The sequence below is a fragment of the Homo sapiens genome, chromosome 10 (genome assembly GCF_000001405.40).
Source record: "Homo sapiens chromosome 10, GRCh38.p14 Primary Assembly".
NCBI lineage: Eukaryota > Metazoa > Chordata > Mammalia > Primates > Hominidae > Homo > Homo sapiens.
Window position 1 is genome coordinate 86,430,829 of NC_000010.11, and position 14,969 is coordinate 86,445,797.

The following is a 14,969-nucleotide window of genomic DNA, read 5'->3' on the forward strand; positions in this document are numbered from 1 at the left end:
TGCGAATACATGGTCTTGACCATTGTGGTTTTATCGTGAAACTAGAAGGTCAATAGTGTATGTCCTCCAGCTTTGTTATTCTTCAAGATTATTTTTACTATTTTATGTCCTTTGCATTTCCAGGTGAATTTTAGAATCAGCTTGTCAATTCTACTTTTATACAAAGTAGAAGTGTTGATATTGGAAATTTCTGCCTTGTTTTTGATCTTCAGAGGAAAGCATTCAGTGACTCATCAAGTTCAATTATTGTACACTTTTCATACCTGCTCTCTTCTGAGGGCGGGGATCAAGATTAGTTCCTATTTCTTTCTCTTTTTTTGAGACAGGGTCTCATTCTGTCACCCAGGCTGTAGGGCAGTGGTGCAATCACACCTCACTGCAGCCTCGACCTCCTGTGCTCATGAGATTCTCCTGCCTTAGTAGCTGCTAGTAGCTGGGACCACAGGCGCACACTACCACACCTGGCTAATTTTGTATTTTTTATAGAGACAGGGTTTCGCCATTTGCCCAGGCTGGTCTCAAACTCCTGTGCTCAAGCAATCCACCTGCCTTGGCCTCCCAAAGTGCTGGGATTACAGGCGTGAGCCACTGCGTTGTTGCTTGTTTCTTAACCATGAATAGGTGTTGCATTTTGGAAAATGGTTTTTCTGTATCTAAAGGATAATAAACCAATTTTACACTCCTTTGATAAATACCTTGTTGTGATGTATTATACTTTTTACATAGTAATGGATTTGATCTTGTAATACTTTGTTAAATATTTTGCATCTATAAAAATGTTGCTATTTTTTTTCCTTGCAATATCTTTGCGCTTTGTATTGGAGATATATAGGTAAGGCTTATACACTGATTTGGTAAGTATTCTCTTCTCTACTTTCTGTGTAAATGGATATTAATTCTTCCTTGTGTTTCATGTAATGCATCAATGAAGTCTTCTGGGACAGGACTTATATGTAGATTTTAAAGTACAAATTCAATTGTTTTGAATATAGGGCTAATGAGGCTTTCTGTTTCTTGAATTAGTTTTGGTAAGTTTGTTTTGCAAGGAATTCGTTCATTTAATTTGTAAAATTTACTGGCTTAAATTATTCATAAAATTCTTTATCTGACCGGGTGTGGTGGCTCACGTCTGTAATGCTTGCACTTTGGGAAACCAAGGCAGGAGGATCAGAGCTAAGTAGTTCAAGACCAGCCTGAGCAACAGAGTAAGACCTTGTCTCTATTAAGTAATAAAAATATTTTAATTATAAAAATTTTAAAATTATTTATCCTTTTAGGCCTATAGCATCTGTATTCCATCTTTTATTTCTGACGTTGATAATTTGTGTTTTTTTCTTTCTTGATTAGTCTTGCTAAGGATTTATCAGTTTTATTAACTACAAAGAATCATCTTTTGGCTTTGGTAAAATTTTTCTATTACTTGTCTTTTATTATATTAATTTCTGCTCATATTTTTTTCCTTGAACTTACTTTAGGTTTAATTGTTCATCTAGCTTCACATAGAAATTAGGATAATTTAAGCCTTCTTAATTTTCCTCTAAGCACTGCTTTAAGTGTATTCCACAAATTTTGATATGTTGCATTTTGTCATTCAGATCATTAAACTTTCTAATTCCCCTTCAAAGACTACTAGGAAGTGTATTATTTTTCAAAGTTTTCTAGATCTGTATTGACTTCTGATTTAATTCCTTGGGGTGAAGATATATCCCCTTTAAGATTTCAATCATCTTAAATTCATTGAGACTTGTTTTATGACCCATCAGATGGTCTGTGAAAATTTTTTGTGCAGTTGAAAAATATGCTCCGTGTAATGTTTTATAACTGTCAATTACGTCGATAGTTGATACTGTCATTCAGAACTTCTCTATCTTTACTGATATATATCATATATATATGTATCCTATTAATTCCAAAGGGTGAAATATCAAACTATGATGTGACTTTTGTCTATTTCTCCTTTAAATTTTTAACTGCATGTAGTATAAAAGGTCTATCAGGTATTAGATGCACAGGCAGAATTGTTATTTCTTCCTGTTAGAGACCCTTTCCCCTTAACAGATCTGGTAATATTCCCTTGTCTTAAAGTCCATCTTGTCTGATAATACAGCCACTCCAATTTTGTGATTAGTATTTGCATGGTACATCTTTTCCTATCCTTTTGCTTCCATATCATTTGTATATTTGTAGTTAGTGTCTCTTGGCTGTTCAGTTTGACAATCTCTGCCTTTGTTTAGTGTATTTACATTTAATATAATTATTCATATCATTAGGCTTAGTGGACATCTTTGGCTTGTTCCTTACAGGGAAGTGTTTTTTGCTTATTTCTATTCGTCCTGCTTCTCGTTTTCTACTTTTCTTGTTTGTTTTTGTTAGTTACTCCTTCCCTGCCTTCCTTTGATTAATCAAATATTTTCCAGTGTTCCTTTTAATTTCCTCTGGCAGCTCTAGCTATATGTGTCTGCATTATTTTTTACTCGTTACTCTAGGGGTTATGATAGGCATCTTTAATTTAGGACAATCTACTTAATATTAACAATTTTTGCAAGAGGATAGTTTCATTTACCTACATTTGCTATAATACAATTCTAGATAGCAAGACAGGTTCTTATGACTAATAACTAGGCAGTATATAGTTTTATAAACTATACTAGGCAGTATATAGTTTTATAAACTCAGCTGGCTCCTTACGCCAGTACATGGCATTTGGAGTATTCAAACTGCACACAAAGGTTAAACAGGGAAAGAGGTTTGACAAAAACACTCAGTATTTATTCAAATTCTCTGTTCAAAGACATTACCCATAAAGTTATGCATCTACACATCCAATGTCAGGAGACCATGATAGTGAATTGTGCAAGCCTCTTTCAAGACTTTCTTCTACATCCAAGAAAAAACCTGAAGGACATACTTAAAATACTTTTTGAGACGGAGTCTCGCTCTGTCACCCAGACTGGAGTGCAGTGGCACAATCTTGGCTCACTGCAACCTCTGCCTCCCAGGTTCAAGTGATTCTCCTGCCTCAGCCTCCCAAGTAGCTGAGACTACAGGTGCACGCCACCAGGCCCAGCTAATTATTGTATTTTTAGTAAAGACACGGTTTCCACCATGTTGGCCAGGATGGTCTCGATCTCTTGACCTCGTGATCCACCCACCTCGGCATCCACCCACCTCGGCCTCCCAAAGTGCTGGGATTACAGGCATGAGCCAACGCGCCCCAACCCCATGCTTAAAATACTTTAATGATTACTGAAGTTTGTTCAATTCCCTCGTTTATTAGTCATTAATATTAACAAGATCAATTTGAAAACAGCAATTGTAGAATTGCCGTTAAAGTAACCCAAGCCCCACTGACCTCAGTAATATAACAATATGCTACTCCATTGTTGTTTAGAATATTTCACCTTCCTGATACAAAATAGTGAAACGATAAAAGCTACCATTGCCAAATTAAGGTTACTTATTTTTATTTATTTTTTCAGATGGCATCTTGCTGTGTTTCCCAGGTTGGAGTGCAGTGTACAATCTCAGCTCAGTGCAACCTCCGCCTCCTGAGTTCAAGCAATTCTCCTGCCTCAGCCTCCCAAGTAGCTGGGATTACAAGTGTGTGTCACTACACCTGGCCAATTTTTGTATTTTTATTAGAGACCGGTTTCACCATGTTGGCCAGACTGGTCTTGAACTCCTGACCTCAAGTGATCTGCCCGCCTCAGCCTCCCAAAGTGGTGGGATTACAGGTGTGAGCCACTGTGCCCAGCCATCCTAAGTTTAGAATATTGTGCTAATGCTTCACATGTACTTACTTTTCACAACCATGAGGTAGGTACTATCCCTGTTTTTCCTGTTTTGAGGAAACGGGCTTAATGGTTCAAGAATTTACTCAAAGTCAATAAGCATGTATCAGAAAAAGGATTCAAATTTTCTGTGTGATTTGTCTTTCTATATCCATAGCCTGCATCCTGAAACCACTCTTACTCATGTTTAAGTGGGGAGAGTAATGGAAACTCCCAGGAGAGATCCTTCAATCTAGTTTTGTGGCTAAAAGCAGTAAGGAGAAGTTGAGGAATCTACTTGTAAATGCAGGATGCCTAAGGGCTGACAATTAAGAAGAAAACTGAAAAACTAAAAAGCAGTGTAAAACCTCAGAAGCAAAGATGTCTTGGATCATACTCATAGGAGCAAAAAATAACCTAAATCAAAACAGTTAAGTATGCCAAGGGCCTAACTGAAAATCCAGTCCCTAATTGGCCTGAGTTGTTGAGTTCACATTATATTCAGATGAGTATTATTAAAAACATGGAGAAATAATAAAATATTTAACAAAAACTGGTTAAATGTGTTAAGTGATAGTGTATTTCCCATTAGAGTCGGCTATATATAAAGTTTGTGACACTTCTGTCCTCCAATAGACTTATGTTAAAGACAACATGTGTATTGAAAGTAGCAATTTTATTTGAGTTAAAATTATTTACAAAAACCCAAAGACATACTTCATGAAACTGGTACAAACTATTTTTTCCTGCCGTTGGCTTTTGCTCCAAAGATCACAGCTGAGAAATACTGTATAAAATAAAAATAGGATTGGATTCAGAAAAGTACTCTACTGTTCTAATTTCCAATTGGTAGTATTTACAGAAATATTTACAATGGAAAAAAGGTTACTTTAAAACTTTTAGTTAAGTCAGCCTCAAGTACCCTAAAATGCAGAGTTCTCTGAGGGTTAAAAACACACAAATGCACTGCAGTTGGTGAAGTGATTATCTCCCCCACCACCTCCCCCCACCAAAATCTGCATCTCTATCAGTGCTCGACAATTAGTTATTATTTAAAAAACAAAACAAAACAAAAAACTGTTAAACACTGAGGTAAATCAATTTTCAAATGATTACCAGTGTAACAGAAAAATGCAGTTCGCCCTGATTGTTCTCATCCAAATGTTTTATAATATTCCTTACCATCTGCCACAAGTCAGGTTCACCAAAAATCTGTCCCTTTCCCTAAATCCAATGATTAATAAATATCAATGTATTTTGCATTTTAAAATAAAATATAACTAATTTAATTTTACGGGTATCATTTACCAATATGTTTTTAAAAGTATTTTGCTAAGCTAGCTTTAATACTCAGGGCAAATACAATCTCAATGGTTCCCACGTTACACTGGCGTACTATGTTCTTAAAAGGTGATGGGTAGGGGTTGGGGTGGGTAGAAGGAAGAAAACAATTTGCCTGGAATCAGTTACTTCCTTACAGATTTCCCAACAATCTGCATTATCAAAAATAGGAAGACAATAGAAGGCAGCCACTGCATTTAAAAACATTACAGCTGGCACTGATACAAGAGCCCCGATTTGTCACTTTATACAAGGAAATAACAAAGTCTAAATGGGTAAAAATTAGACTTTTAGCTATTTTCCCCAATACACACCAAACTAATATTTTTATGGCTTCAAGTTTTACAAATCCAATGAAGAAACATGATGTAACTACCTGAAAGGTATTTAAAAGTATTAATGAAAAAGATCTCTAGAAAGCCTGTATTCAGGCCCAATCAATAAAAAAGGAAAAAAAAAAGTATAACCAGTGGTGTGAATAATACAAGAAAAATTTGCAATGTTATGATATTAAATCTATAAAATGTTTTGTGTTCCATAACTGTTTTTCAAATAACTGCTCTACGAACAAAGAATCTGAATGAAAAAAGGGTCTTCTCTAAACCAGCAATTTAAGGCTTTGCGCTTATGCAATTGATCCTGTCACTCTATAGAAGAATATACATGTTATCTGGAAACAGGAATTCCACATTGGTGTTTTAGCTTCCTTATATTTATTGTACTGAACATTAGAAAATATATCTAGAGAGTCTTTCCTCAAAATCTAATAATGTTTTAAGAGCCTCCCTAGCATTAAGTGTAAACTACCCTGGGTTTGACTATTTTGCCTCCTCCTTTTAACAGGGCACATCATCTTATATAATATTCTCTCAAACTGTTGTTTTTCTTGTGCCTATAGCTATGACACATTATGGTATGATATTGAATATGGTTGTGGTCTCAAAAGTAAAAAATAGTTCAATAACCCAAACCTAATCAAGAATAAAAAAATATACTATTAATCCCGTGTATCTTTGGATTCCATCTAATTTTAAATATAGACAGTAGTTCAGGGAACAACAACCAAAAAATTCACAAAATTATTAAAAGCTTTATTTACGATTGGAATCATTCAACAAAAAAGCAAAAGCAAATGAGCCTGAAAAAGGAACTAAGCTGTTGTCTAGAATGTCCTCAGAACATTCGCTACCTCAGTAGCTAAGCTGCCTTTGCACCTGGCTGGCATGACAACAGTGGCTCAACATACACAGCAGTTGCACTAACAGCAGCACAAATTTTCCCCTTCAAACTTGCCCAGAATAAAGCAAGAAAACAAGGGGAGGGTATAAACTCTGCCAAAGTAAATGTATTTAAATACTGCATGGAATTGTTAACAGCCTGAACCTTTTCCCCTCATTTTTGATAGTTGCAGATTGATGTAGTAACTGTCATTTAGCAAATGCCGAATGCATGACGAAGAAATCAGGTGGCCTTAAAAATCCAAACACGAATGATACTGATGAATGTTCTTGGTATATCTTCAAGGACTTCTTTCATGACTTGACTTTTCTTTGTCTAAGGATAGCTCCAGCATTACCGAGCACCTGAAGCAAAGGTAAAGCAGCTAGCAATGTTCCAAATATTCAATCACTCTAGAGATAGATTTCTGGCCAGTTGTTCCAACAGCACACTGAAAGCAGGGTGAAGGGGAAAGGAAGTAACAGTTAATATTTAACAGATTTTAAGAAGTATAAATAAAAGTTTACCTCTAGATTTACTAAACTGAACACTACAAATCAAAGTACACCGAGATTAAATTGTGGGTTTGATAAAGTTATTTGCCATAACATGCAATGATTACCTTGAAGAAATAGAACACGATTATTAAAATTAAAAGAAAATCCCTTTTTGCTCCCACTTACTATGGCCATAGTATTTTTATGTCTACTGTCAATGTATTATAAATTTAAAATCATATAAGCTGTAATAAAAGCTACTTACAGTGAGATTCATAAAACTCAAAAATTTTTTGAGCATCTCTGTCATTATTGAAAAGTCTCCTTCTGGCAGATATTCCCGCACAGTGGTTACATTGATCTGAGGAAACAGAGCAAGAAATATTGGTCAGCTGGCAGAAAACATGAGATTGCACCTCGTACAATGTTGTTGGTTTTGACACACATCTTGGTGCAAATTTTTAAGATCCTTGGAACACGTGGTTATTTATTCTCTTTCCACACTCACTCTGCATGTGATTTCCTACCTCACCCTCAGAAAGAAAGGAGAAAGGTAAAGTTGGCAAAAGCTACAAAGAAATATTTGTGTACACATTTACTTTTTTTTTTTTTTTTTTAAATGAAACAGTCACTCTGTTACCCAGGCTGGAGTGCAGTGGTGTAATCTCAGCTCACTGCAACCTCTACCTCCTGGGTTCAAGTGATTCCCATGCCTCAGCCTCCCGGGTAGCCGGGATTAAAGGCACGTGCCACCATGCCTGGCTAATTTTTGTATTTTTAGCAGAGACGTGGTTTCATCATGTTGGCCAGGCTGGTCTCGAGCTCCTGGGCTCAAGTAATCCACGCACCTTGGCCTCCCAAAGTGCTGGAATTACAGGTGTGAGGCAGCATGCCGACCTACTTTCATAAATGCAAAGAAAAAGGCCTGAAATAACAAACTGCACTGTTTAATGTATGTGTGTGTTTCACTGGGGGCCCTGGGGGAATAGGAGAAGAGGGTGAGGACTTTAGACCTGAGAATGTACTCACAAAGCTGCTCATGAAATAAAAAGATCAAAGAAAAATTCACATCCTTCACAGATGAATTCAACTAATTATATAGGACAGGAATTAACTAGAAGCATCTTTCCAAAGGCAATCTAACCTCATCTATGATAGATTCTCAGACAATATCAGGAGAGAAAACCCTTCATTATTAGCAAGAAGCAGCCAAACTATATATAAACCAATCTGTTACATGGAAAACATTACACAACCTGCTTAAAAAACTATTTCATTAAAGAATGCTTTAAATGTTTTACGGAGAATAAAAAGAAAAAATCTTTTAGGAAGGTTCACCTGTAGTAAGGGGCAAAAGAAAGTATACTGTCCCAAGTTTGGGGACACAAGGTAAAGGGTTAAACAAAACCAACCAAAAAACAAAAAGAAAACACACAAAAGCTCCCAATTCGACTTTTGTTAGCGGGGGCAAAAAAGGAGAGATGACATATTTCTCTTCAGAAATTTGCCACTACCCACCCCCTTTTTCCTATTCCCATGCCAGGGTACTCGCAAAATTAGAAAGCAGCAAAAAAATGAGATGAATACAGCTTCAGAAAAGATCTAATCAAAACACTGCTAAAGTACTCATGTGCTGAAGATATCAGTTACACACATTCAAACTGATCCTCCCACCAAAAGCTATCACAGTGGTGGGCAAAATAGTGGCTAAGGTGTCTCTGGAGAACTGCTCAGTAGAAAAGTACGCCTCTGTAATAGAGAATATATGATTAGCTCCTATATTTTGGATGAAAGCCCCTCATTAATCCAAATCAAACCCTTCTCTATCAACACACTACAGAACATGACATACAGCGTTTCTGAGGCAATGGGAGGGACAGTGACAGCATTTTTTAACAGAATATAGCAGGTACAAAAAGAAAAGGCATGATACAGCATGGCCTATTTGAAAAATTTTAAAAGTGTCCAGTAGGTTTGGAAATTGGAGAAGCAGTCTTAAGTCCAGGGTCTTGCAACACTAAACAGTCATGAGTCCCCTTCCTGGCTGTGAGCCAAGGAAGACTGGGCAAGGAGCTACGTGATCAGTAAGTGCTCTGAAGTAAGTTAGCTCCAGTGGCAATGTGCAATGTCCCAGGAATGGAGGGGCAACAAAGCAGGAAGAGCAGTGAGGAGACTGACCACTGCAATGCACCAGCTGCAAAGTGAGAAGACATGGAGGGCAAGTGAAAATGGGATCAGACCACAAAGCAGCATTTACTGCAACAACCACATGCTTTCTTGTCTATCTCTTTTCACTTACACATTAGGTAAACCAAACTTCCTTTACATTTTGTGGTATCAGCTAGCTTTTTGGTGTTAATCATAATAATCTCCAAGGCAACAAATAAATCTGGGGCTCTATGAATTCACAACATTTCCCACAATTTAAGAACATTCTCTTTTTAGAGACAAGATAGATACAGGCAAACACAAATAGGAATTAGCATGGGAAAGATGGCCCAAGATAAATCATATGTGGTAATAACACAATTTCAAGAACGATTATGTAAGAAAGAACGTGACTGAAATATGACTAAACCTATAGTGTGTAAAAAACAGAGTATCTAAAAATCTTTAAATTTAAATATTATTTTCATTGCTTTTTTTTTTTTGAGATGGAGTCTCGCTCTGTTGCCCAGGCTGGAATGCAGTGGTGCGATCTCCACTCACTGCAAGCTCCGCCTCCCGAGTTCACGCCATTCTGCTGCCTCAGCCTCCCGAGTAGCTGGGACTACAGGTGCCCACCACCACGCCCGGCTAATTTTTTTTTTGTATTTTTAGTAGAGACGGGGTTTCACCGTTTCACCGTGTTAGCCAGGATGGTCTCGATCTCCTGACCTTGTGATCTGCCCACCTTGGCCTCCCAAAGTGCTGGGATTACAGGCGTGAGCCACTGCGCCCGGCCTTTTTTCACTGCTTTTGAGGCCTGCCTCTTCCTCCTTTCCTGTGTGTGATGGGTTTCTGATTTGCTCTTAAAATCTTGTCATTGGAAATAAGAAAAAGGGATATAAAGATCTTGCGGGGCCTCCAGAGCCACGATGAGAACTTTGGTCTTGATCCTGAAATCGGCGGTACCCAGAGGGGCCACACAGAGTGGGCTGTTGTATTTAGGTTAGTTAAAATGTTAAGTATGGAAGAGATGGACAAGATGGATTCAGAAAAACACACAGGACTTAGATACACAAAGTGAAAAAAAAAAAAAAAGGCAATACAAAGAATTAGATGGCTAAAGTAAGGAAACGTGGGGTGGGTAGATGGGCCCAGGTACACAGAGCCAGCATGAGTTCCTGCTCAAATAAAGCCATTCATTTATCATTAACTCTGTTCTTCCAGTCCTCCAGCTTCAAAAAGAGATGGCCCCTGCTTCCTGCTGAAACTAATGCCCCCCTCCTATAGGTCTCCACTCTTTCTTGTTCCCTCAATGCCCTTGCTCCTAGAAAACAATCTGCCTTCCATTTCAAAATCTGGCTTTACAAATGGACTTTACACTTAAAAATAATCCACCTATGCCCAACCCCCCATCTGAAAGAGAACACTCACAATGATTCTGCTGGACCCTTCTTCAACAGTTTTACCCTTCATATTTGTTTTTCCCAAGGCAGCAGACTATCCCCATAGTCACAACCTTTCACTTTCAGGCTGACTCAGCCTGATTGTCTAGACATTTGTATTTCTCCTAAGTGAATCCTGATGATCTAATCCACTCACAGTAATCCCATGTTCCCAGCCAGTGACTGGTTCAGACAAAAGCATTGTGACCCAATGCTGGCCAAGATGAGAAGTCTACCTGGTGAGGGGTGAGAGTGGCATGGGGTCCCACAGGGGAAATAAACAAACAGTTGTCTTAAAAAGATATGTATTTCCAGCCAATGCACCTATGAAAAAAAAAAAAAAACTATAGAGGAAGAGGCCCTATTACTGCTAGGCACTACTTAATTTGATGAGACACCTAGCTGTAGTCAGCACGGGACCATAAGGGCTAGCAGAGGACAACATGTGGAGGACAGCAGTTTAAAGAGAGAAATGGGGTGGGCACTGTGGCTCACACCTATAATGCCAGCACTTTGAGAGGTCGAGGCAGGAGGATCACTTGAGCCCAGGAGTTCGAGACCGGCCAGGACAACATGGTGAAACCCTGTCTCTACAAAAAAATACAGAAAAATAATAAAGACAGAAATGATCTGAGTCTCTGATGACCTCAGTGAGGCACTGACATCACCCAAATTAGACTCTGCCATCTTGTTTAAGCCAGATGAGTACAGGTTTCATACTATCCCTTCTTTTACTCCAACCAAAGGCATGTGAACAGATTCATCCATCAAACAACAGCTTTTTCTTTTCTTCTTTTTTTTTGAAACAGTCTCACTCTGAAGCCCAGGCTGAAGTGCAGTGGCACGATCTTGGCTCACTGCAAACTCCGCCTCCAGGATTCAAGCGATTCGATTCTTGCGTCTCAGCCTCCCGAGTAGCTGAGATTAGAGGTGTGCACCGCCACGCCCAGCAAATTTTTATATTTTTAGTAGAGACATGGTTCTGCCATGTTGGCAAGGCTGGTCTCGAACTCCTAACCTCAAGTGATCTGCCCATCTCAGCCTCCCAAAGTGCTGAGATTACAGGCATGAGCCACCATGCCCGGCCACAAGAGCTTTTTCATTAGTATTCTGACCTTTGGGATGTACCTGAAAAAGCTCAACAAGTATTTTAAAGTTTTTAATATTATATACTATTTTGATTTTTAATTTTATTTCATGTATGTAATTCTTCCTTTTTCATGAGATTAAAGCACTGACTAGCTTGTTTTCCAGAACTGCTTTTTCTTACATCTTTAACAGCCTAACTCTGACAGGCACATCCTTCCTAATAAAGCCATAAAGATCAACTTTATTTCACTTTTTAAAAAGTGAAAATCAATTTAATTTACTCCACTCCAGGCCTTACTTAGTAAAACCTATATTGGAAAGGATTAGCATGTAAAAAATGCTATACATTCCCTTTCCAATACAGACTGTACTAAAGTTTTTACTTTAAAACTATTTAGGTAATTTAAATAAAACTACTGGAAATGGCCGGGCACGGTGGCTCACGCCTGTAATCCCAGAACTTTGGGAGTCCAAGGCAGGCGGATCACGAGGTCAGGAGATTGAGACCAACCTGGCTAACACGATGAATCCCCGTCTCTACCAAAAAATACAAAAAAAAGTTAGCCGGGGGCGGTGGCAGGCGCCTGTAGTCCCAGCTACTCGGGAGACTGAGGCAGGAGAATGGCGGGAACCAGGGAGGTGGAGCTTGCAGTGAGCCGAGATTGCGCCACTGCACTCCAGCCTGGGTGACAGAACGAGACTCCGCCTCAAAAAAAAAAAAAAAAACTACTGGAAATGTTAACACATTTTCTTGCCATTTTTCCTCCATAGGAAACAAACAATTTAAACAACCCTATAATCAGCCAATAGCCTTTGTGGAATAAGTTGGACATTAAGGGGGAAACACTGAAGAAATAAATAAGTGAAACATGTAAAGGTATGAAGTCGTTACATTGGAATCTTTCAAAGATACATAAAACATCACTGAACTATGTACTTACTGGACTTTCCTGGCAGAGACACCCAAGAAGTAGTGCTGTGTAGGAGGCCACAATGCAATCCTCCATGTGTTTGCCGGCATGCTGAAGGGCTGAGAGAATTGAAGTAAAGAATTGTAACAGTATATTAATTAACACAAACCTCACAAAACCAACCATTCTGTTAGTTATCTTTACTTTAAAACTGCTACAAATCAACGAATGATGCTAGGACAACTGGATATCCACAGATTAACAAAAATTTAATCAAAATGAAATAGGGATCCAAAAGAAAAGCTGAAACCATAAAACTTTTAGTTAAAATTTTTGTGTTGCAAAGGACACAATTAACAAACTGAAAAGATTAATCCACAGAATGAGAAAATATATTTGCAAATCATGAACTTGATAAGGGTCAAGTATCCAGAACATATAAAAAACATTCTTACAACTCAACAACAAAAACAACCCAATTAAAACTGGGCAAAGGGCCAGGCGTGGTGCCTCACACCTATAATTCTAGCACTTTGGAAGGCTGAGTTGGAAGGATCACTTGAGCTCAGGAGTTTGAGACCAGCCTGGGCAACATAGTGAGACCTCCTCTCCATTAAAATTCAAAAACCTTTAATGGGTGTGGCGGTGCACGCCTGTAGCTCCCAGCTACTTGCAAGGCTGAGGTGGGAGGATCGCTTGAGCCTGGGACGTCAAGGCTGCAGTAAGCCCTGATCGTGCCACTGCTCTCCAGCCTGGGTGACAGAGCAAGACTCTGTCTCAAAAACAACAAAAACAACCCACAAAACCGGGCAGAAGACTTAGAGATTTCTTCAAACAAGATACACAAATGGCCAATGAGTTCATGAAAAGATGGTCAGCATCATTAATCACCAGGGAACTGCAAATCAAACCACAATGAGATATCATGTCACGCCCACTAGGATGACTAAAAATTTTCTTTTACAATACAAGTAACTTGGAACCTTCATACGTTGCTGATGGGAATGTAAAATAGTGCAGCCACACTGGAAAACAATTTGGCATTTTCTTAGAATGTTAAAACACACAGTTACATACAATCCAACAATTCCAACTCCTAGGTATAAATCCAAAAGAAATGAAAATGTATGTCTACAAAAAAACTTGTAGATAACTGTTCAAAAAGCTAAAAAGCAGAAACCACTCAAATGTCCATCAGTAAACAAATAAACTATGGTATAACAATATTATGGAATATTATTTGTCTAAGGAATACAGTATTAACAAATACTGTATCACGGATGAACTTTGAAAACATTCTGCTGGCTGAAAGAAGCCAGTCATAAAAGGCAACATATTGTATGACTCCTTTTTAAATGGAATGTCCAAAACAGGCAAATCCATAGACACAGAAAGTAGATTAGTGGTTGCCAGTGCCCAGGGAGGAGGGGAAAATAGGGGTGATGGCTGCTAATGGGTATTGGGTTCCTTTAGTGGTGATAAAAACAATATTTGGAATTAGTGGTGATGGCAGCACAACCTTGTGAATACATGAAAAACTACTGAATTACTCATTTTTAAAGGATGAATTGTACAGTCTGTGAATTCTATCTCAATAAAGCTGTAACTTTTTAAAAGACTGCTAAAAAACCAAAAATGTTATTACGCCAAAAAAAAAAAAAAAAAAAAGAAATGCATCAAAACCTAGTAACTGAGAAAAAGGAAAAGACAAGTATTACAATATTAAAACTAATGGTGATCAGATTTGGGGAGGAGTGGGAGTAACAGGAGAAAAGGCTCAGAACGAGACGTTGCTGCGGCTTGCTTCCTACTGATGTGAAGCTGAACATATGGTCGTCCCTCTGCATCCAAGGGGTATTGGTTCCAGGATGCCAGCACCCTCCAATACCAAAACTGGAGGAGGCTCAAATCTCTGACAGGAAAGGGTGCAGTATTTGCATATAAGTCACACACATCCTCTGGCATACTGTAAATCATTTCTAGATTACTTATGACACCTAATAAAATGTAAATGTTATGTAAATAGCTGTTATACTATATTATTTACTAACCTGTATTATTTTTTCTTCCTCAAATATTTTTGATTTGTGGTTGGCTGACTCTGTGGATGTGGAACCCACATGTATGGAGGGCGGACTGAACTTAAATTCATAACCTTAGTGATACAAAGTTACAAATGGCTATTTTGCAGAACTTGTATAAATGGCAAAAGTTGTATCACAAATTCTGACAACAGTAGATACTCAATAATGTATGATTAGCGAAGATATTACCTCTAGTATCTTTTTTTTTTTTAATGAGAAAGGGCCTCACTCTGTCACCCAGGGTGGAGGGCAGTGGCACAATCATAGCTCACTGTAACTTTGAATTCCTCAGCTCAAGCAATCCTCCCACCTCAGCCTCCCAACCACCTAGGACTACAGGCTTGTGCCACCATGCCAGGCTAATTTTTTATATTTTTTGTAGGGATGGGGTCTTGCTAGATTGTTGTCTCAAACTCCTAGCCTCAAGTAATCCTCCTGCTTCAGCCTCCCAAAGTGCTGGGCTCACAGG

General features: G+C 38.3%; 1 protein-coding gene across 2 annotated transcripts in view, besides 2 other annotated features; it reads right to left on the bottom strand.

Moving 5' to 3' along the window:
• Window positions 637-806: an enhancer, noted in NCBI's record as "experimental_17841 CRE fragment used in MPRA reporter constructs". NCBI's record gives its function as "activates a minimal promoter by MPRAs in K562 erythroleukemia cells, with activity observed for both the introgressed and non-introgressed 10:88191307 variant alleles {active_cell/tissue: K562}" and the evidence as "EXISTENCE:reporter gene assay evidence [ECO:0000049][PMID:34662402]".
• WAPL (WAPL cohesin release factor) overlaps window positions 4,428-14,969 on the bottom strand; it is an 86,537-nt gene continuing 75,995 nt past the window's right edge. For both annotated transcript variants that reach the window (NM_001318328.2, NM_015045.5), the window contains exons 17-19: window positions 12,447-12,535; window positions 7,092-7,187; window positions 4,428-6,780 (exon numbers count right to left, since the gene is read on the bottom strand). In NM_001318328.2, coding sequence (NP_001305257.1) covers window positions 6,715-6,780; window positions 7,092-7,187; window positions 12,447-12,535 — 251 coding nt within the window. In that variant the 3' untranslated portion in view covers window positions 4,428-6,714. The remainder of the gene's footprint in view (window positions 6,781-7,091; window positions 7,188-12,446; window positions 12,536-14,969) is intronic.
• Window positions 7,184-7,478: a silencer, noted in NCBI's record as "tiled region #10398; K562 Repressive non-DNase unmatched - State 16:ElonW". NCBI's record gives its function as "represses a minimal TATA promoter and a strong SV40 promoter by Sharpr-MPRA in K562 cells {active_cell/tissue: K562}" and the evidence as "EXISTENCE:reporter gene assay evidence [ECO:0000049][PMID:27701403]".